Source organism: Homo sapiens, chromosome 9 (genome assembly GCF_000001405.40).
Source record: "Homo sapiens chromosome 9, GRCh38.p14 Primary Assembly".
Taxonomy (NCBI): domain Eukaryota; kingdom Metazoa; phylum Chordata; class Mammalia; order Primates; family Hominidae; genus Homo; species Homo sapiens.
In genome coordinates, this window is record NC_000009.12 from 131,928,382 (window position 1) to 131,950,206 (window position 21,825).

Genomic DNA, 21,825 nt, shown 5'->3' on the forward strand with positions numbered 1-21,825 from the left:
AAAGCACCATAATAAGAATGAAAAATCAGGTAAGCAATCACAGTATCTTGTTTTAACTTTATTTCACTGAAAGAGGCATTGAAAAGAGGAGGAAAGACAGTCTTGAGTGACACCACTCCTCCTCCTTCCTCCAGCAGCTGCTAAATGGCCTGGAGAGGATCTGCACACTTGGGTGAGGGAGAGCACAGCGACTGGGGGACTTGCCATTGAACTCAGTGCTGCCCTGACACAGTGGAGAGTAAAGCCATGCTGGGCTCAGCTGATGCCATATCCACAGAGGGAGTATTTGGACCAGTTCTGGCCAGAGAGAAATCACCCACCCCAGTGTGGGAACTTGAGTTTCTCAGCAAGCCTTGCCAGCGTGTGCTAAAGTGTTCTGGGGTTCTAGGTAAACTTGAAAGGCAGTCTAGACCACAAGGACTACAATTCCTAAGCAAGTTCTAGTGCTGGGCTGGGCTTATAGCCAGTGGACTAGGGCGGCATGTGACCCAGGGAGACAGTAGCCTGGGTGGCTAAGGGAGTGCTTGCGCCACCCTTCCCCCAATTCTAGGCACCACAGTTTACAGCAATGAAAGTGACCCTTCCTTCTTCTTGAGGACAGGAGAGCGAAGAGTAAAGAGGACTTCGTCTTGCATCTTGGACATCAGCTCAGCCACAACAGGATAGGGCACCAGGCAGTCGTGAGGCACCCATTCTAGGCCCTAGCTCCCAAATGATATTTCTCGACACCTTGGGCCAGAAGGGAATCTGCTCCCTTGAAGGGATGGACCTAGTCCTGGCAGGATCCATCACCTGCTGACCAAAGGGCCCTTGGGCCCGGAATAACCAACAGTGACACCCAGGTGGTATGCCGTGGGCCTTGGGTGAGACTCTGAGACGTGCTGGCTTCAAGTGAGATCCAGCACATTCCCAGCCGTGGTGGTTCTGGGGAGAGACTCCTTCTGCTGGAGAAAAGCAGAAGGAAAAGTAAAAGGGACTTTGCCTTGCCCCTTAGGTACCAGCTTGGCTACAGGAGGGTAGGGCACCAAGTGGGCTCTTGGGGTCCCTGAGTCCAGGCCTAGGCTCTTAGATGGTATTTCTGGACCTGCTCTGGCAGAGGGGCATCCACTGCCCTGAAGGGTGAGTCTCAGGCGTGGCAGCATTCACCACACCTGTATGGTGAGTGTAAATTAGTACAATCACTATGGACTTTTCACTGACTGAAGGGCCCCCGGACTTTCAGTGAACATTGGCAGTGGCCTGGCAGAACTCCCCACGGACCAGTGGTGGTGGCGGTCACTGGGAGAGGCTCTTCTGCCTGTGGAAAGGGGAGGGAAGAGTGGGAAGGAGCTCAGCTGCAGTAGAATAGAGTACCAGCTAGATTTCTAAGGTTTTTGACTCCAATCCCTGGCTCTCAGACAGCATCTGTGAACCCACCTGGGACCTAGGGGAACTTGCTACCCTGAAAGGAAGGACACAAACCTGGCTGGCTTCCCCATCTGTTGACTGTAGAGTCCTAGCACCTTGAATGAACATAGGCGTAGTGGTTACAGCGAGCCTTGGGCAAGACCCAGTGCTGCGCTGGCCTCAAGTCTGACCCAGCACAGTCTCAGGAGTGGTGGCCACAGTGGTGTTTGCATCACCTCATCTCCAGCTCCAGGTGGCTTAGCACAGAGAGAGAGAGAGGCTCCCTTTGTTTGGGAGAAAGTAAGGGAAGAGGACCAAGTCTCTGCCTGGTAATCCAGACCTAAAAAATAGCGTTAAAGGGCAAATCTAAGTGTCATTGGTCTTAAAGAGGAGGTAGAGAAAAAAGACGGGTACAAAGTTTATTCCAAGGGGTAACATCAGATCACTGTCCAAAACTAGAGAAAGACAGCAACATTCAAGTACAAGAAGGTTATAGAACACCAAGCAAGTTTAACCTGAAGTAGACTACCTCAAGGCATTTAATAATCAAACTCTCAAAGGTCAAGGATAAAGACAGGATCCTAAAAGGAACAAAGCAACAGAAAAGAAACAAATAACATAGAGTGGAGCTCCAGTCCATCTGGCAGCAGACCTCTCAGTGGAAACCTTACAGGCCAGGAGAGAGTGGCATGGCATATTTGAAGTGCTGAAGGAAAAAAACTTTTACCCTAGAATAGTATATCCTATGAAAATATCCTTCAAGCATGAAGGAGAAATAAAGACTTTTTCAGACAAACAAAACCTGTGGGATTTCATCACACCAGACCTTTCCTATAAGGAATGCTAAAGGGAGTTCTTCAATCAGAAAGAAAAGGATGTAAATGAGCAATAAGAAATCATCTGAAGGTACAAAATTTGCTGGTAATAGTGAGCACACAGAAAAACACGTAATATTATGATACTGTAATTGCGCTGTGAAAACTACTCTTAAGTAGAAAGACTAAACAATGATCCAATCAAAAATAATAACTTTTCAAGATATAGGTAGTACAATAGGACATAAAGAAAAACAACCAAAAGTTAAAAAGCGGGGCCATGAAAAAGTGTAGAGTTATTATTAGTTGTCTTTTTGCCTTTTTTTTGTTTGTTTGTTTATGCAAGCAGTGTTGTCATCAGTTTAAAATAACAGGTTATAAGGCTGGGCACGGTGGCTCATGCCTGTAATCCCAGCACTTTGGGAAGCCAAGGGGGCAGACTGCTTGAGCTCAGGAGTTCAAGATCAGCCTGGGTAACATGGTGAAACCTGTCTCTATCAAAAATACAAAAACTTAGCTGGGTGTGGTGGTGCGGATCTGTGGTCCCAGCTACTCGGGAGGCTGAGGAGGGAGGATCACTTGAGCTCAGGGGGCGGAGGCTGCAGTGAGCCAAGATTGTGCCACTGCACTCCAGCCTGGGTGACAGAGTGAGACCTTATCTCAAAAATAAATAAATAAAATAAAATATAAAGAATGAATAAATAAAACAACAGATTATAAGATAGTATTTGCAAACTTCATGGTAGCCTCAAATTAGAAAATATACAATGGACACACAAAAAATAAACAGCAAAAAATTAAATCATACCACCAGAGAAAATCACCTTCACTAAAAGGAACAAAAGAAGGAAGGAAGACCTCAAAACAACCAGAAAACAGCAAAATGGAAGAAGTAAGTCCTTACTTATCAACAATAACACTGAGTATAAGTGAACTAACTCCAATCAAATATAAGTAAACTCTCCAATCAAAAGACACAGAGTAGCTGAATAGATAAAAAAGCAAGACCCATTGATCTGTTGCCTACAAAAACAGCCTTCACCTACAAAGATACATACAGACTGAAAATAAAAGGATGGAAAAAGATATTCCATGCCAATGGAAACCAAAAGAGAGCAGGAGTAGCTATACTTACACAAAATAGATTTCAAGACAAAAACTGTAAAAAGAGACAAAGAAGGTCATCATATAATGCTAAAGGGGTCAATTCAGCAAGAGAATATCACAATTGGAAATATATATACAACCAACAATGGAACACTTAGATACATAAAGGAAATATCATTAGAGCTAAGGAGAGAGACAGGCCACAATACAATAATTTAACACCCCAATTTCAGCATCGGACAGATCTTCCAGACAGAAAACCAACAAAGAAACATCAGACGTAACCTGGACTACAGAACAAATGGACATAATAGATATTTACAGAACACTTCATCCAATGACTGCAGAACACATATTCTTCTCCTCAGCACACAGATCACTCTCAAGGATAAGACTACATGGACCATTCTCAAGCACAGACCATACGTTAGGTAACAAAACAAGTCTTAACACATTAAAAAAAAAACTATAAGAATATCAAGCATCTTCTCTGACCACACTGGAATAAAATTAGCAATCAATAACGAGAGGAATTTTGAAAACCATACAAACACACGGAAATTAAACAATATGCTCCTGAATGACCAGTGGGTCAATTAAGAGATTAAGAAGGAAACTGAAAAAATTTCTTGAAATAAATGATAATGGAAACACAAAATAAAACTGGCAAACCTTTAGCCAGACTAATTAGGGAAAAAAAAAAAGAGAGAAGATACAAATAAAATAAGAGATGAAAAAGGAGACATTACAACTGATACTATAGAAATTAAAAGGATCATTAGTGGCTACTATGAGCAACTACATGCCAATACATTGGAAAACCTCGAGGAAACGGATAAATTCATAGACACATACAACCTACCGAGACTGAACCATGAAGAAATCTAAAACCTGAACAGACCAATATCAAGTAATGACATTGATGCAGTAATAAAAAAGTCTCCCAGTAAAGAAAAGCCCACGATCCAAAGGCTTCACTGCTGAATTCTACCAAACATTTAAAGAAGAATTAATACCAATCCTACTCAAAGTATTCCAAAAAACAGAGGAGGAAGGAATACCTCCAAACTCAGTTTATGAGGCCAGTATTACCCTGATACCAAAACCAGACAAAGACACAACAAAAAAGAAAACTATAGGCCAATATTTCTGATGATTATTGATGCAAAAATCCTCAACCAAATACTATCAAACTGAATTCAACAATACATTAAAAAGATCATTCATCATGACCAAGTGGGATTTATTCCAGGGATGTAAAGATGGTTCAACATACACAAATCAATTAATGTGAAACATCATATGAACAGAATGAAGGACAAAAACCATGCGATCATTTCAATTGATACTGAAAAAACATTTGATAAAAACCAACATCATTTTATGATAAAAACCTTCAAAAATTTGGGTATGGAAGGAACATACTTCAACATAATAAAAGCCATATATGACAGATTTACAGTTAGCATCATACTGAATGGGGAAAAAATGAAAGCCTTTCCTCTATGATTTAGAACATGACAAGGATGCCCACTTTCATCCTTCCATAATACTGGAAGTCCTAGCTAGAGCAATCAGACAAGAGAAAAAAATAGAGGGCATCCAAATTGGAAAGGAAGAGGGTCAAATTATCCTTGTTAGCAGATGATCCGATCTTATATTTGGAAAAACCTAGACTCTGCCAAAAAACCATTAGAACTGAGAAACAAATTCAGTAAAGTTGAAGGATACAAAATATACAGAAATCAGTAGAATTTCTATATGCTAAGAGCGAACAATATGAAAAAGAAATAAAAAAGTAATCCGATTTAATAGCCACACATAAAATTAAATACCCTGGAATCAACCAAAGAAACAGAATTGAGAAATAATGAAAACTCTCATAATGAAAACTATAAAACTCTCATAATGAAAACTATAAAACACTGATAGAAGACATTGAAGAAGACACAAAAAGATGGAAAGATATTCCATGTTCATAGGTTGGAAGAATCAATATTGTTAAAATGTCCATACTACCCAAAGCAATACACATTCAATACAAGCCTTATCAAAATACCAATGATATTTTTCAAAGAAATAGAAAAAAAAATCCTAAAATTTATATGGAACCACAAAAGATCCAGAATAGCAAAAGCTACCCTCAGCAGAACAAAACTGGAGGAATCACATTACCTGACTTCAAATTATATTGCAGAGCTATAATAACCAAAATAGCGTGGTACTGGCATAAAAAGACACATAGATCAATGGAAGACACTAGAGAGCCCAGAAACAAATCCATACGCCTACAGTGAACTCATTTTTGACAAAGATGCCAAGAACATACATTGGGGAAAAGATATCCCTTCAATAAATGGTGCTGGGAAAACTTAATTTCCATATGCAGAAGAATGAAAGTAGATCACTGTCTCTCACCATACATAAAAATCAAATACAAATGGATTAAAGACTTAAATCTAAGACCTCAAACTATGAAACTATTACAAGAAAATGTTGGGGAAATTCTCCAGGACATTGGTCTGAGCAAAAATGTCTTGAGTAACATCCCATAAACATAGGCAACCAAAGCAAAAATGGATAAATGGGATCATATCAAGTTAAAAAGCTTCTGTACTGCAAAGGAAACAATCAACAAAGTGAAGAGACAGTCCATAGAATGGATCTGCAATATTACTGAATTGCAAACTACCCATCTGACAAAGGATTAATAGCCAGGATATATAAGGAGCTTGAACTCTACAGGAAAAAAAAAATCTAATGATCCAATTAAAAAATAGGCAAAAGATCCGAATAGATATTTCTCAAAAGAAGATATACAAATGGCAAAAACCCAGTTAAAATAGCTTTTATCCAAAGACGGGCAATAACAAATGCTGGTGAGGAGGTGGAGAAAAGAGAACCCTTGTACACTGTTGGTGGAAATGTAAATTAGTACAACCACCATGGAGAACAGTTTTGAGGTTCCTCAGAAAACCAAAAAATAGAGCTACCATATGACCCAGCAATCCCACTGCTGCATATATACCCAAAAGAAAGGAAACCAGTATATCAAAGAGATAGCTGCACCCCCATGTTTGTTGCAGCACTGTTCACAATAGCCAAAATTTGGAAACAATCTTGGTGTCCATCAAGAGGTGAGTGGGTAAAGAAAATGTGGTACATATACACAACGGAGTACTATTCAGCCATAAAAAGTACAAGATCTTGTCATCTGCAACAACATGGGTGGAAATGGAGGTTGTTAAGTTATGTGAAATAAGCCAGGCACAGAAAGATAAACTTCGTTATGTTCTCATCTATTTGTGGGAGGTAAAAATTAAAGTAATTGAACTCCTGTAGATAGAATAAGGATGGTTACCAGCGGCTGAGAAGGGTAGTTGGGGTGGGAGTATGGGGGCAGGATAGTGGGGATGTTTAATAGGTACAAAAAGTAGTTAGTAAAAATAAATAAGACTTAGTATTTGATAGCACAACAGGGTGACTACAATCAATAACAATTTAATTGTACATTTTAAAATAACTAAAAGAGTATAATTGGATAATTCATAAAACAAAGAATAAATGCTTGAGAGGACAGATATCCATTTACCAGGATTTGATGATTACACATCACAGGCCTGTATCAAAGTGTCTCATATACCCCATAAATACATACACCTACTGTGCACCCATAAAAATTAAAATAAAAACTTTCAAAACAAGTATCCTGGTATATGCAAGAGAATGCTCATGCCAACATTATTTATAAAGCAAAATTGTAACCAACCCCAACATGCCTTGGCAAGAGAAAGAATAAAGTGTGGACAGTCACAGGATGGACATTAGACGACAATGATCAAACTGCCAGATACGACCACCATCAGGGATACAGCTCAGAAACAATATACATAGTATGATACTATTTCTACACAGCTCAAAACTCAAGGAGGCATTATTTAGGGATACAGGCACATGTGGCAAATTGCATTTTAAAAATGAGAAGGGGTGCCTCTCAGGGTGGAGATGACCACGGGTCGGGAGGCAGGGACTGGGGAGGAGCCATATTGTTTATATTCTATTTCTCAAATTGAGTGATGAGCTCATGGGTTTATCTAAGCTTTATAATTTACATATACATTACATATATTCTTTAGTATATATCAAATTACATAATTTAAAAATTTTAAGAAAAAATTGGCCAGGTACAGTGGCTCATATCTGTAATCCCAGCACTTTGGGAGGCTGAGGCAGACGCATCACTTGAGCTCAGGAGTTCGAGACCAGCCTGCCGTCTCTACAAAAAATACAAAAATTAGCCAGGCATGGTGGCACACACCTGTGGTCCCAGCTACTCAGGAGGCTGAGGTGGGAGGATTGCTTGAGCCCAGGCGGCTGAGGCTGCAATGAGCTGTGATCACGCCACTGCACTCCAGCCTGGGTGACAAAGTGAGACCCTGTCTCAAAAAAAAAAAAAAAAAAGAAAGAAAGAAAGAAAGAAAGAAAAAATCACCAGCCTAGTGCCTGGTAGTCCAAATCTTACTTGCCACCAGCATGACCTGTCCTCAGAGACAAGAGGAGGACAGCATCCTGGAGGCTTGGGGAGATAGGGATAGGTGTCCCCGCAGCCACGGGAAACAACTGCCTCCATTTCCTACTTGTCAGATGAGCACAGTTGGTGCTACCCACCTCGAGGGCCACAGTGAGGACCAGATGAGATAAGTGCTGTGTAAGCCACAAGACTCTGTCCACACAGACGTTCACTGTGCCATACAGACGGCTGGTTCCTCTAGGGAATTACTTCCCCTCCACTCCTTGCAGTTCTGTGGGGCTGCCAAGGCCTGACTCCCCCATCCTCTGGGCTCAGGGCAAGGAGCAACTGCAGGCTAGGCCAGCAGGAGTGTTCTTCCCAGGTTGTATGCACAGGGATGGAAGGCGGTTAATACGGAATCATTTGGGCCATGGGGCCCCCTAAAAAACGTTGTCCTGATCTTGTTCCTGACATGCCTGGAGCTACTCTGGTTTTTGTCCTGCCGGGCAGGTCAGATTAATCACTGAGTCTGATGCACCTGGCACCATCAAACAGCAAAACCAAAACCAACTCTTTCCTTATGTAAGTCAATCAGAGTTTCTGTTGACTGCATTCAAGGAAGCCCAGCCAATTCAGGAGGAAATGCCGTTTTATTTCAAAAGCACAGGCACAGTTCGTACATTTGCCGAGGGAGGTAAAGGAAGGTGTCAGCTGAGACTGCTCAAGTGCACCCTGCTTCAACGGCCTCTTAACTGGTCTTTCCCCATCAGTCTCGCTTGCCCCCAAAGCCTTCAGGAATACACTGCATTCCAGAATAAATCAATTTATTCCAGATTCATCTCCAGAAAACACTTTTTGGGGAACAGGTGACTAGCAGTAGGTAGTGGGGGAGGTGGCATCTGTTGGTCCTGCTCCCCCTCCAGGTAGGAATTCCCATCACCCACCTCACGATGGATGTGGTAGCAGTGAATAGCCTAGAGATTTGCCATCTCATAAAATTCCAACTTTTAATAGTAAATGCCAAATGCAGGCATTATGTTAAAAGTATGATTAACCCCATGGCCCATGGCAATCTGATTCTGAATCAAATCACCTACCACTGGCCCTGTAAGTAAGCACCAGCTTCTGTGAGTTCCTGTGTCGCTGAAGAAAGGTAACAAGTAGGCACCTAGATCCACGTGTCTGAATTAGCGGGGGTGGATGGGTGTTAGTGGTAGTAAATAAACAGGGCATATGAAATGTGATTCTTGCCTTGAATTGAGCCCCTAAACTCTCTCATCAGTCTATTAGGACAGAAGCTCCATGGGAAAGCAGGCGAGGTCGACCATCACTGTGAAATACATGCCTGCCTTCTCAGGTGGAAGGAACTCATCTGTGTGGCCTGTTTGCCTGGAATCCTGTTCCCTCTGCTCATTCCCTTCAATGCCAAATCCCACCCTCATTATGAAATGGGAGCTCAATGACCCAGAAATAATTTGAACAAACCTATTTCACTGAGGATGCATTCATTTTTATCTTCATTAACTCTCTGGGGCCCTGTCAGGTATGCTGAGAGCAGGGTTTATGTTTCAACTGCTAGGTCTGGGGTATCTTAAAATCTGGGCAATTTGTACATTTAACTGAGGCAGACTTTTTTTTTTTTTTGAGACAGAGTCTCGCTCTTTTGCCCAGGCTGGAGTGCAATGGCGCGATCTCAGCTCACTGCAACCTCTGGAGGCAGACGATATTTTGTGTTCTGTAGACAGATGTATTTTATATGAAGAAAACTGTTTCCCTTTTCTATGAAAAAAACATCGCATTATCTCCTTTTCTTTATGTTTTAACTGAAAGAAATTTTTTAAATATTATGTTATCCAGGTGAATGTCACTAATTTGTTTCCCCCACAAACGAAGTAACAAACATTTAACAAGCCCAGATCTTTTCCTGTCTTAAGACCAAAACACGCACGCACACACAATGCTCCCCGAAGATGAACGGCTGGAGTAAACAGTAACTCATCCTGGGTGACTGGCTATTTATAAGATTTCACACAAGTAAAATGCTAAAATATGGGGAGTTCACACTAGGCTCCAAAGCAGCAACAGCAGAATAGATGGAAAAAATACCCAGTCCTGAACCTTACCTCCCTGACGCCCATCGAAACCATCATTCTTATTCAATAAACTCTGCTTTTTATAAAATGTGGTGGTTCCTCAAAAATCTGTGTTCAGGGAAGTATTCTTCAAGCACATACAAGTATTATTACACAGACCACTAGAAAAGCTTCTCATCATTGAGGTCTCTATGCCTTCCTAATTAATAACATAATTTAGCATTTCTATCCCACTGTATTTCCAAAACACACCTGTCTTCGGTGAATTCATGCAAATACAAACATCTTCTAGGAGATTATGAGGCGATGTGTTCAGAGCAAACCATAATCAGAAACAGCAAAACCAGAAGTCATCAGTCTCAGAACACTTTCTTCAAATACATAATATTCTGGTTTTATATTAAGAGAGTGTTTTCTTTTTTTTTCTTTTTTTTTTTGAGAAGGAGTCTTGCTCTGTCACCCAGGCTGGAGAGTGCAGTGGAGTGATCTCGGCTCACTGCAAGCTCCGCCTCCCAGGTTCATGCCATTCTCCTGCCTCAGCCTCCCCAGCAGCTGGGACTACAGGCACCCACCACCACACCCGGCTAATATTTTGTATTTTTAGTAGAGATGGGGTTTCACTGTGTTAGCCAGGATGGTCTCGATCTCCTGACCTCGTGATCCGCCCGCCTCAGCCTCCCAAAGTGCTGGGATTACAGGCGTGAGTCACCGCGCCTGGCGAGAGTGTTTTCTTTAGCAGGATCCAACAGTTGAGCATCACTATTGTCTACTATACTCCTTTGGGGAAAATAGAAAACAGATTCGCCAAAACATTGGGAGGTTGCATTAAGTGACTTAAGGTGAAATGGTCTTACAGTGTCTTTCCTCTCTGGTTAAGTCTTACATGGGGTCTGAAATTTTGTTCAAAAGCAAGGTTTCAATGTGCAGAATTCTTAACCTACAGAATGCCAGTAAAGAAACTATGTTATTCACTATCAAATTGGAATTTAATCCCCATTCTCTAGATCCTACAACACAGGACCAGAGAGTTAATTGTGAAGTCCATTTTTTCCCCCAACATCCCTACAAATCAGTCAAGCTGATCTTACCAGAAGCATTGCTGATGTTCCATTGGGTCTGGATAAGTGGATGGACATTTCAGGAAACATCCTGTCAATGCGGCTGATCACATCATCAACATATCTACATGGGAAAAAAATAAACATGTGTGAACTACAACTCCAGTTAAGAGCTACAGATTAATAGTATTCAAAAGACATTGCTTTTAAATATAATTTTAAATCAATATAACACATTTTTAAGAAGGCAAATAGAATTAGAAACCTTTTAGTCTTTACCTCTGTATGTCCAGATAATGTGTTTTTAATGCTAGTTCTTGATTTTTCATTTTAAGGCATGACTATTAATCTTCTTCTATAGGAGGTCAGAATTTAGCTGTGTCACCTGCTGGGCCACTGGACTCCAACAACATGGCCCCCTCCCTTTGTCCTTCCAGTCCAGGATGGCAGCAGTGTCCTGCTGTTGCGCACCTCCGGGCTGTCTCACTGTCTAATCTGGCTTCTCCTTTGAATCACTGGAATAACCAATTCCCAGGATTAAATTCCTTCCTTTTTTTTTTTTTTTTTTTTCTTTGAGACAGAGTCTTGCTGTGTCACCTAGGCTGGAGTGCAGTGGCGTGATCTCGGCTCACTGCAACCTCTGCCTCCCGGGTTCAAGCGATTCTCCTGCTTCAGCCTCCCGAGTAGCTGGGACTACAGGCGATCCCCACCACACCTGGCTACTTTTTATATTTTTAGTAGAGATGGGGTGTCACCATATTGGCCAGGCTGGTCTCGAACTCCTGACCTCATGATCTGCCCGCCTCGGCCTCCCAAAGTGCTGGGATTATAAGCATGAGCCACTGTGCCCGGCCAATTCCTTCTGTTTTAAATACCTGAAGTCATTCCTGATCTCCTGGTTGTGCTCTAATTCAAGTTATATCACAATTTTTACTTAAATCAGTAGTCTGTGATTATATTCTAAAATCTCTGCATATATTTTTAATAGCTGAGACACATAGTGGCTCATGACTACATTTATTTACTTATACAGCTTTCTGTTTTCTTACATTTCTATTTTTTCTTCTCTTTTTTTCTTTTTTTGAGACTGAGTCTTGCTCTATTGCCCAGGCTGGAGTGCAGTGGTGCTATCTCAGCTCACTGCAACCTCCGCCTCCCAGGTTCAAGAGATTCTCATGCCTCAGCCTCCCAGGTAGCTGGGATTACAGGCACCCACCACCACTCCCGGCTAATTTTTGTATTTTTAGTAGAGATGGAGTTTTACCATGTTGGCCAGGCTGGTCTCGAACTCCTGACCTCAAGTGATCCACCTGCCTCAGCCTCCCAAAATGCCGGGATTACAGGCGTGAGCCACTGCACCCAGCCCTGTTTTGCCTTTTCATTTGATTAGTTTTCTATGTATCTGTTACAGTTTTATTCCTAAACTCTCTACCTGGCTCTTACCCCAAACATATCAGGCAAGCTATCAGCTTCATGTTTTCCTTGGAGATATCCCACCAAAAGGGAATCCTCTATTCTTATACCCAGATGAAACCTGTATCTCTTAAGGTTTTCAGTGACATTAAGGACTTAGCATGAGAACTGGCACATATAAAGGACTCAAAAATTTTAAGTGCCCTGATTGATAGTTCTACCACTTACACCATGGGCCAATTCTGCAAAAATGCCCTCTCTTACTGGGATAAATTCTCCCCTACAGTGGTAGCGCATTGTGAAGACATCAGCCCATAGCACTGAGTAGGGTCTGGCTCAGGTCCTTTGAGAACAAAATCATACAAGAATTTGTGTTCACCATCCAATTACACTGGACACAAAGAGGATGTATAATATAATAGCTGACATGTAAAACTATCTATTAAGGATTTTACATTGGATTTCATATCCATTGGCTACGACAAATTAAATTACATGTCCGTTAAGTCAGGGACATATAAAAGGTATATTCTCTTGGGGTAAGAGGGAGATTAGTTCTCGGTTCACAACATGAAAAGATTTTAGTTTGAACCTGGGGCTCATGAAAGATAGCAGAAAACATAATGCCTTTTGTTAAAAAGCGAACACACACGCCAGCTCTGAAAGTTAGAAAGTGACCCTACCTATTCTCTAAGGAAAGCCTATCAGGTTTTCCTTAGAGAATGTTATGTCGAGTTTTAAAACTTTAAGCTGAAGAAGGAAGGGGAAAAATTAGAGACGGCCCAGTGGTAAACAACGACAACAGTAAGAAGACTGCAGCAGAGATGAGTGAGAAGGCGTGGAGGTGCACTGAAGGGTATTTGCTCCCGGAGAAAAGAAGGCCAAGGGAGACTTTGATATTCTTCAAGTACATGAATGGCTTTCATGATCTCAGTACCAAACAGCATCTCCTATCTCTCAAAAGCACCATACCGTGAGGATATGGCACCAAAAAGTGAACTTGCTCAGAAAGAATGACAGGCATTTCTTAAAGGCAAAGCCCCATTCTGCTGAATTTTTTTTTTTTTTTTTTTTTTTTTTGAGACCGAGTCTCGCTCTGTCACCCAGGCTGGAGTGCAGTGGCGCAATCTCAGCTCACTGCAAGCTCCACCTCCCTGGTTCACACCATTCTCCTGCCTCAGCCTCCCAAGTAGCTGGGACTACAGGTGCCCGCCACCACGCCTGGCTAACTTTTTGTATTTTTAGTAGAGACGGGATTTCACCATATTAGCCAGGATGGTCTTGATCTCCTGACCTTGTGATCTGCCCACCTTGGCTTCCCAAAGTGCTGGGATTACAGGCGTGAACCACCGTGCCCAGCCTCTGCTGATTTTTTAATAGTTTAATAAACAATCTTTCCTGGATGGCTAAGACACAGGTTGACCACACATCATCTCCCGTGGTTCCCTCTAGATTTACAGCATCATGACACACAACCTTGGATCTAAGCTTAAATGCTACAAAAGGGGTGAGAAGTGAAGAAAGGAGGAAATGAACTCATTTTTCATCATTGCCTGACGTTTCTTGAAATGGTGAAGGCACATGACAAAAACATCATGCCCAAAGTTTATACCAGGTCACTGGAAACATTTCTGCATGTATATACTTCTTCTCTAAATCTATATGTGTGGTTTAAACCCAGTTTCTTCCGACTCAGCAGGAAGCAAACATCCACTGTCCTGTGTGAATGGAGGTCATTGCTAAGTATATGCTAATGGGGAGGAGGATAGGCGATGTCTTCTGAACATTGAGGCTATTGTCCTCAATCAATAGCCATCATAGCTCTGGACAGCAGAAAGCAGATGAATATGCAGATCTTCAGCACAAAGGTAACATCATAATTTGCTTTCCATTGTACCTTTCACCTTGAAGGCGTCAAGATACATTCTGGAAAACTAGTCTCCTTAGGAGGCTAGAAAAATAAAGAAATGAGGTGGGTTAAGTGATGATCCCAGGTCAAGCAAAAAGCCAGAAACCAAGCTCAGTGTGTAGATTTCTAGAATTCCATGCCAACTACCTAACTTTGCTTGCTTTTAGTAAGGGCCAGAGTTCTAAATGGGCAAACAAATGTTCCTGGCCATTTTTGATTCCTTTATTGATGAGATTTTTACCTGTAAGAAAAGGCAATGGCAGAAGAAAAATAAGTTCCTAGGAAAAATATCTGCAGTTGGCACAGGTAAGTAAAGAGATCTGGGTGGGTTTTGTTGTTGTTTTGTTGTTTCTTCCCCAACCCGTGACCTCAGACAAAGCTCAGCAAACTCAAAGACTGTATGAAGCAAAATGGATTTTCAGGAGATTGTTTTCCATTCACATGCCTAATACAAAGGAGATGCAAATTTCTTTTCTACAGGTGACATTATGTATTTGCCAAAAGGGGAAAGAGAGAAAGTCAGCTGCATTTTTAGCTGAGGAAAACAATGTCTAAATTCTCGAGGCAAAAATCAAAACATTTCATTTTCAAACAGACCCAACCTTCGAAACACAAATCAACCACTAGTGACTTGACAGAAATAAGGAAAGCTTGGAAGCTCAAATTAAAAATCTAGAGACAAAAATGACACTCTTTCTTGTTGAGGGAGGGGGTGTTGGTATGGGAGGTGGTCTCTGGCAGTACTCTCTGAGTGCTGCCTCCCGAGACGGTGAGCACGGCTAGCGTCTGCAGCGGGCTCTGCAGTGCGGCGCCCCACTTTGAGAGCAGGGCTAAGGACAGGTAGGAACAGTGTGCTCCCCTCCTACACTTCCACCATATGTTACACTCTGTTCTGTGGCAGAATCAAATTACTTTAATTTTTACCTTTGGAATATAGGCAAACAAGCAGTAACACAGCAGTGGTGACTAGTTTACACTTGAGCAGACGCGGCGCGGAAAGACATTAATTTAGTGCCAAATTGAGCAGTGAGTCACAATTTGCACATATCTGTCAACCTGTTAACAGGGTAATAACTTGGAAAGACTGCTGTTCCTATTTACATTACAGAAGGCTTTCGAAAATGGAGAGCTGCTTGGTTCTCCTTTTTGAAGTATTTGGTCAATGAGCTGGCTTGATGGTCCAAGAACTGGGCTAGAAACACAAACTTCTAGAAATTACAGATTCAAATCAAGGTATGATCCATAACTTCAGTATGTTCGGATAGAAAACGAACTTTTAAGCAACCAGAGCATTCTGTTTCCCTGCCCTTTGCCCTAGCTGCGGTAAGACTCTCAACGGTTTCCAATCCACTTTTTTCCAGCACAACCCAACCATCTCTTCCAGAAGGACAGCTTCAGTCTCAACTGCCTCAACATCTCCGCTGCATCAGAAACAATCCCACCATTTTCAAATGGCGAAAATGGATTTCAAGAGCCCTATACTTTTGTTCACTTCTAATTTTCTTCAAGTAGCCCAGCTTGCTCCTTTCAATGGCCTTAGTCCGAGAATTAAAGAACACCAGGACCTCAGAGGTCCTCTCATCCAGTGTCCCCAACAATTTACGGCTTGAACAGCATCTCCAACAGGTGGTCTGCATAAATACCCCCCATTGCCACCTCATGAGGCAACCCCTTGCATTGCCTGACGTCTGATTGTTTCAAATCCACTTACTAGTATCTGCACCCAATCACCCTACTTTAGCCTTTAGAATGACACACAAATATTTCCTCCAAAAACTAAAGGCTTTCTGGGGTCCATGAATGGACTTTATAAAAGACTGTTGGGTTTTCTGATTTCTTTCATCAGTGGTTTTTAGTCTTTTTTTTTTTTTTTGAGATGGAGTCTCGCTCTGTCACCCAGGCTGGAGTGCAGTGGCGCAATCTCAGCTCACTGCAACCTCCACCTCATGGATTCAAGCAATTCTCCCTGCTGCCTCAGCCTCCCAAGTAGCTGGGATTACAGGCACCCGCCACCATGCCAGGCTGATTTTTGTATTTTTAGTAGAGACAGGGTTTCACCATGTTGGCCAGGCTGGTCTCGAACTCCTGACCTCAGGTGATCTGCTTGTCTCTGCCTCCCAAAGTGTTGGGATTACAGGTGTGAGCCACCACGCCCGGCTGTTTGTTAGTCTTTCTTGGGTCACAGATCCCTTGGAGAAGGTATGAAAATTAAAACACATGTCTGTACAACATTTTATATACAATCTTCTGCAGTTCATGGACCTTTAAAGTCCATTCATGGATCCCAAGTTAAGCATCCCTGCTTTAGCCCTGTTCTAGAACTGTGGTCCCTGGTTTGCTTTTTTGTTCTTTTCTGAATGGTTAACTTTCATTTTTCAATAAAGCTACTTTTATTTATATATAAATATATATAAATAATTTTATATAAAAATATTTATATATAAATATATAAAAATATCTTTATATATAAAAAATTTATATATATATAAATATAAAAATATATTTGTTGCAGCCCAGAAGTGAACATAACTGAAATGGCATAGGGGGTACAAAGAATCTACTAATTCTGATCATCTTTAAATCATGTTTCTGTGATAGAGCCGCAGGCTAGTTTTTGTTTATTTATTTTTTAATTGACAAATAAAGATTGTATATATTTATCATGTACAACCTGTTGTTTTGAAATATGCATATATTGTGGAACAGTTAAAGCAAGCTAATCAGCACATACACTGCCTCACATATTTAGCATTTTTGTGTGTGTGTGGTAAGAACACCTAAAATCTACTGTCTTAGCAATTTTCAAGAATATAATACATTGTTATTAACTACAGCTACCATGTTATACAATAGATCTCTTGAATTTATTCCTCTTACCTACTTGAAATTTTATATCTTTTGATCAGTATCTCTCCCCAACCCCCATGCCAAGCCCTTGGTAACTACCATTCTACTCTGTACTTCTATGAGTTCAACTTTTTTAGATTCCACATAGAAGTGAGATCGTGGCCAGGTGCGGTGGCTTATGCCTATAATTCCAACACTGGGAGGCCAAGGCAGGAAGATGGCTTGAGCTCAGGAGTTCGAGATCAGCCTGGGCAACATGGCAAGATCCTGTCTCTTAAAAAAAAAAAAAAAAAAAAAAGTTAGCCGGGTGTGGTGGTATGTACCTATAGTCCCAGCTACTTGGGAAGCTGAGATGGGAGGATTGCTTGAGCCCAGGAGTTCAAGGAGGCAGTGAGCCATGATTGTGAGACTGCATTCCAACCTGGGTGACAAATCAGACCCTATCTCTTAAAAAAAAAAAAAAAAAAAGCGATCGTGCAATATTTGTCTTTCTGTCTCTGGCTTATTTTATTTAATATAATGTCCTCTAGGTTCATCCATGTTGTTGTAAATGACAAGATTTCCTTCTTTTTCAGGCTGAATGGTATTCCACTGTGTATATACACCACATTTTCTCTACTCATTCATCCACTAATAGACAGTTAAGTTGATTCCACATCTTGGCTATTGTGAACAATATTGCAATGAACATAGGGATGTGGATGTCTCTTTGACACACTGACTTCATTCCTATGGACATATACCCAGTAGCAGAATTGCTGGGTCATATGGTAGTTCTATTTTTAACATTTTGAGGAACCGCCATACTATTTTCCATAATGACTGTACTAATTTGCAGTTCCATCAACACTGTGTGAGGGTTCCCTTTTCTCCACATTCTTGCCAACACGTATCTTTTGTGTCTGTTTTTAAACACCTGCCTCTGACTGTTACTCATCCTTCCAACAAAATCAAAGACCTACCCCCATGACTTCAGAGGTCATCTGATTGGGGTAACCACTTTTGCCCTCTAAAGCCACATTTCTCATGCTTTACACCCATGCTCCTTGTTTGTATAAGTAAAGGGCTCCCTACTTTTTGTATCACTGTTAAGGCACAGCTCAGTGGTAAACTAAAGTCTCAAGTCCTAGGAGGGCCAAGGAGACCTTCACTCCAGCTGCAGTGACTGTTACAGCCTCATCTAGGCTTCTTCCACGTCCCTGAGCAGGCTCACTCTATCTTGGACACTGTGCACACTCTGTCTGGAAGATTCTTCTCACAAGTATTCTCACCCCCGTGCCTGGGTCATTCCTATTCATGCTTCCGTCTTTGAGTTTTCATCTTAAATGATGCTTCCTCAGGGAAGTACGGTCTCACACTTCCCTTGGCACCCCATCAGTCAGTGTACCCCATTTTATCTCTCATGGTACTTTTAAATTTGCTTTGTGCTCCTGTCCCCTTTGTCATTAAATAATTTTTTGAGTGATTATTCAACACCTAACTCCCCTACAGAATTCTATGGGAACCTATGACTGTCTTCTTTGATGCTGAATCCCAGCACCTTGTCACAGTATCTGGCACCCGCTAAGCATGCCTTAAATATTTCCTGAATGAACAGACTGTACATTAAAAGTAAGCCACGGAGACCCAAATTAGGCCATTATAAAACAACTACAATACAAAGTTCTCTTTAGCAGAGGAAGATGTGAGGTGTCGGGGGTCCATTACATTAGCCATCAAAAGTCACCAACAACAGCAACCAGAGAACTCCACAAAACAAACCTCGAAGAAAGCTGCAGAGCTCCTTTATAGTCTTCCAGCTTGATATGCAGCTCCAGAATCCCTGCATGTGTTTTAGTAGAAGCTCAGTGCCTCTTAGAAGCAAAACCTTCTAAAGAAACACACTGTTATTGACATGCCAATTTTAAAATGTTGCTTTTAATGAACTAATTAATTCTGCAAAACATTAGTACAAAGATGCACGCTACCAAATTGGGATTACAATACTAAAATGATCACAAAACAGAATGTGGAAGACATTTCTAAAGATATCGCCTTTGCAAAACATTAATTTTTTACTCCACACATCCAAATACATTGCAAACTATTTGTTATTAAAACCTTAAAATAATTTACTGGACAGATGGCTTAGTTCTCTAAAGACTGACCCCCTCCTCAAAAGAAAAAAAAAACACACACACACAACAAATCTGGGCCCTAGCCAGTGATCCCATGTTAGTGTGATGCTTAGCAGCTCGAGCCGGATTTAAATAGCACTTACCCCACACAATGTGTAAAATATATGCTGTTCATTTTCTCCACCCGTACAAAATCTAAAAGTTAGGAATGCATATATTAATAGACCACCTTTTGGGGAAAAGGGTAATGCCCAGTAGATATCAAGAAGGGAATCATTTGCATGATCTGAAAATGATTTAAGATTTTCCTCTACACCTGTCCGCAGTGATGAGACTGAGAGGCCTTTGACAGTGGGTGGAAACAGACGAGGGCTTGTTTAATTACTTCAGGAGATGAGATTGACTGAAACTACAACTATCAATCTCAAGATGCTGAAGAAAGAGATTGGAAGCTTAGGTCAAATTTGCTTACTTCTCAGATTTATAAAATATTTATATCACGGTTGTGAAACATTTCTGATTATTTGCTCAAGAAAATCAAAAATACTTTCTAAACTGTACAACCAGGCCGGGTACAGTGGTTCACGCCTGTAATCCCAGCACTTTAGGAGGCCAAGGCAGGAGGATCAGTTGAGGTCAGGAGTTCGAGACCAACATGGCCAATATGGTGAGACCCCATCTCTACTAAAAATACATAAAAACTAGCAGGGCATGGTGGCATGCGCCTGTAATCTCAGCTACTCAGGAGGCTGAGGCACAAGAATCGCTTGAACCCAGGAGGCAGAGGTTGCAGGGAGCCAAGATTATGCCACTGCACTCCGGCCTGGGTGATAGACACTCCGTCTCAAAAAAACAAAAACAAAAACAAAAAAAAAAAACAAAAAACCAAAACATAACACCAACCAACCAAACAAAAAACAAAACCGTACAACTAAAAGCAAGACTAGACGTACTGCAGACAGAAATAAACACACACTAGCTTAAATTTCCACACCATCTCTCACTACACACCCTTCTCATCCTAACACAACTGGCTACTTATCTACTGTGTTGTTCTCTTCCAAGGAAAGACACTCAAAAACTTCAAGATCTCTTTATGGCAACTCAACACTTAGGCAGGCAGAGCTGGCAAGATGAGGAAGAGCTGCTTCCTGGGAGGGAAATGGTGACCAGGCAGCAGTAGATGGGGAGCTTGATCCTGTCTTCTCCTTAGTAGCTCTTGAATTTCGAGCCATGTGAATATATTACCTGATGAAATGTAGGAGAATCACCCAGGCAAGCAAATAAAAGCTACCCCTCCATTTCCAGAAGTCGAAATCAATGCACAAGGGCCCAGCACACGCTGAAACGTATAAACCAACCTGCCTACCTTCTTCCTGCTACGGGGTGTCAAGTCGCCCTTTGAGTTCATGGGTACGTCATGAACTAGAACACGTGACAAATACCATCACAAAATAGAGTTCTTCTTACACATGACTTAGCATGATTTAGAGAAGAATTGTTTACTATTCCTACAGTATCTATTAATAAATATTTTTGAGTGCCTACTCCTCAACAATGACTGTGTTCTAGGAATGACATTAAGTACTAAGGATAGAAAACAATTATGGCAGCTGGCTCACAGGCCTTGTGAAAGGGGAGGATGGCGGGGCCCGAGCTTGGCCTTTCTGCTAGAGGAGGGAGAGTGACAGAGCAGGCACTGTTTTCCAGTTTTCAAAGCACTTTTGCACTCTTTGCCTCGCTCAATCTCTCGTCAACTCTGGGAAGTAAGCAGGGCAAGCAGAAAACTCCTGTTTTACAAATGACAGAAAAAAGAAGGCTAAGTGACTTGCCCAGGAAGACACTATGGCTGAGTGGCACAGCTGAGCCCAGAATCCACGTCTCTGGATTCCCCATTCTAGGGCTTTCTTACACACCGCAGTGCTTTTATTAGGTCTGCGAGGATTCCTTGGAAAAAGCAGGTTTCATTTTTGTCATTCTTCAGGTTTCTCATAAAACAACTGAGAAATCTTTTAGTAGTGTAGTAACAAAATGAAATCAATTGATGGTTTTCTTTCTTCCCAGTCATTTGGTAAATATTCATGCAGTGCCTAAGTGAGCTCAGGGATGCAGTGATGACTAAGGCAGTCTCTGCCTTCATGGGGTTTCCAGTTTCTTCAAGGCAGAAGGCTTGTCTCCAGAGAAACAGGACAACCAGGTTAAACGTCCTGAAGTTCTCCTGCTGGGTTTTTGATTTTGTGACTCTCAATTAATGTGCAAAGTTGGCAGGAAACAGGGAGGAGTGAAACAGTGAATACTTGCTTTGCATTTTATTTTATATTAATAACTAAAAATATTAATATAATTAATAATTTCTAAATTTCTGTTCTTCTTGCATTACAAATTTACTCAGGTATCTTGTGGGTCCTAGTTTTCCCTAAAACATTTAAGCAACATACTAAGTTTGGGAAAGAATTTTAATGTCACTCAACAGCTACCTGCTCTGCATGCCCTTACATCTTTACGAGAGAGAAAAAAGAAAAAAAACCCCTAATAATAAAACACCTGTGTTGAGCTTTCCAGCAACACCA

General features: G+C 41.4%; 1 protein-coding gene across 5 annotated transcripts in view; it reads right to left on the reverse strand.

Annotated features, from left to right (window-relative positions):
* Nucleotides 1–21,825, reverse strand: part of MED27 (mediator complex subunit 27) — a 219,756-nt gene that overhangs the window by 68,270 nt on the left and 129,661 nt on the right. For all 5 annotated transcript variants that reach the window (NM_001253881.2, NM_004269.4, XM_017015329.2 and 2 more), the window contains exon 4: nt 11,000–11,093. In NM_001253881.2, coding sequence (NP_001240810.1) covers nt 11,000–11,093 — 94 coding nt within the window. The remainder of the gene's footprint in view (nt 1–10,999; nt 11,094–21,825) is intronic.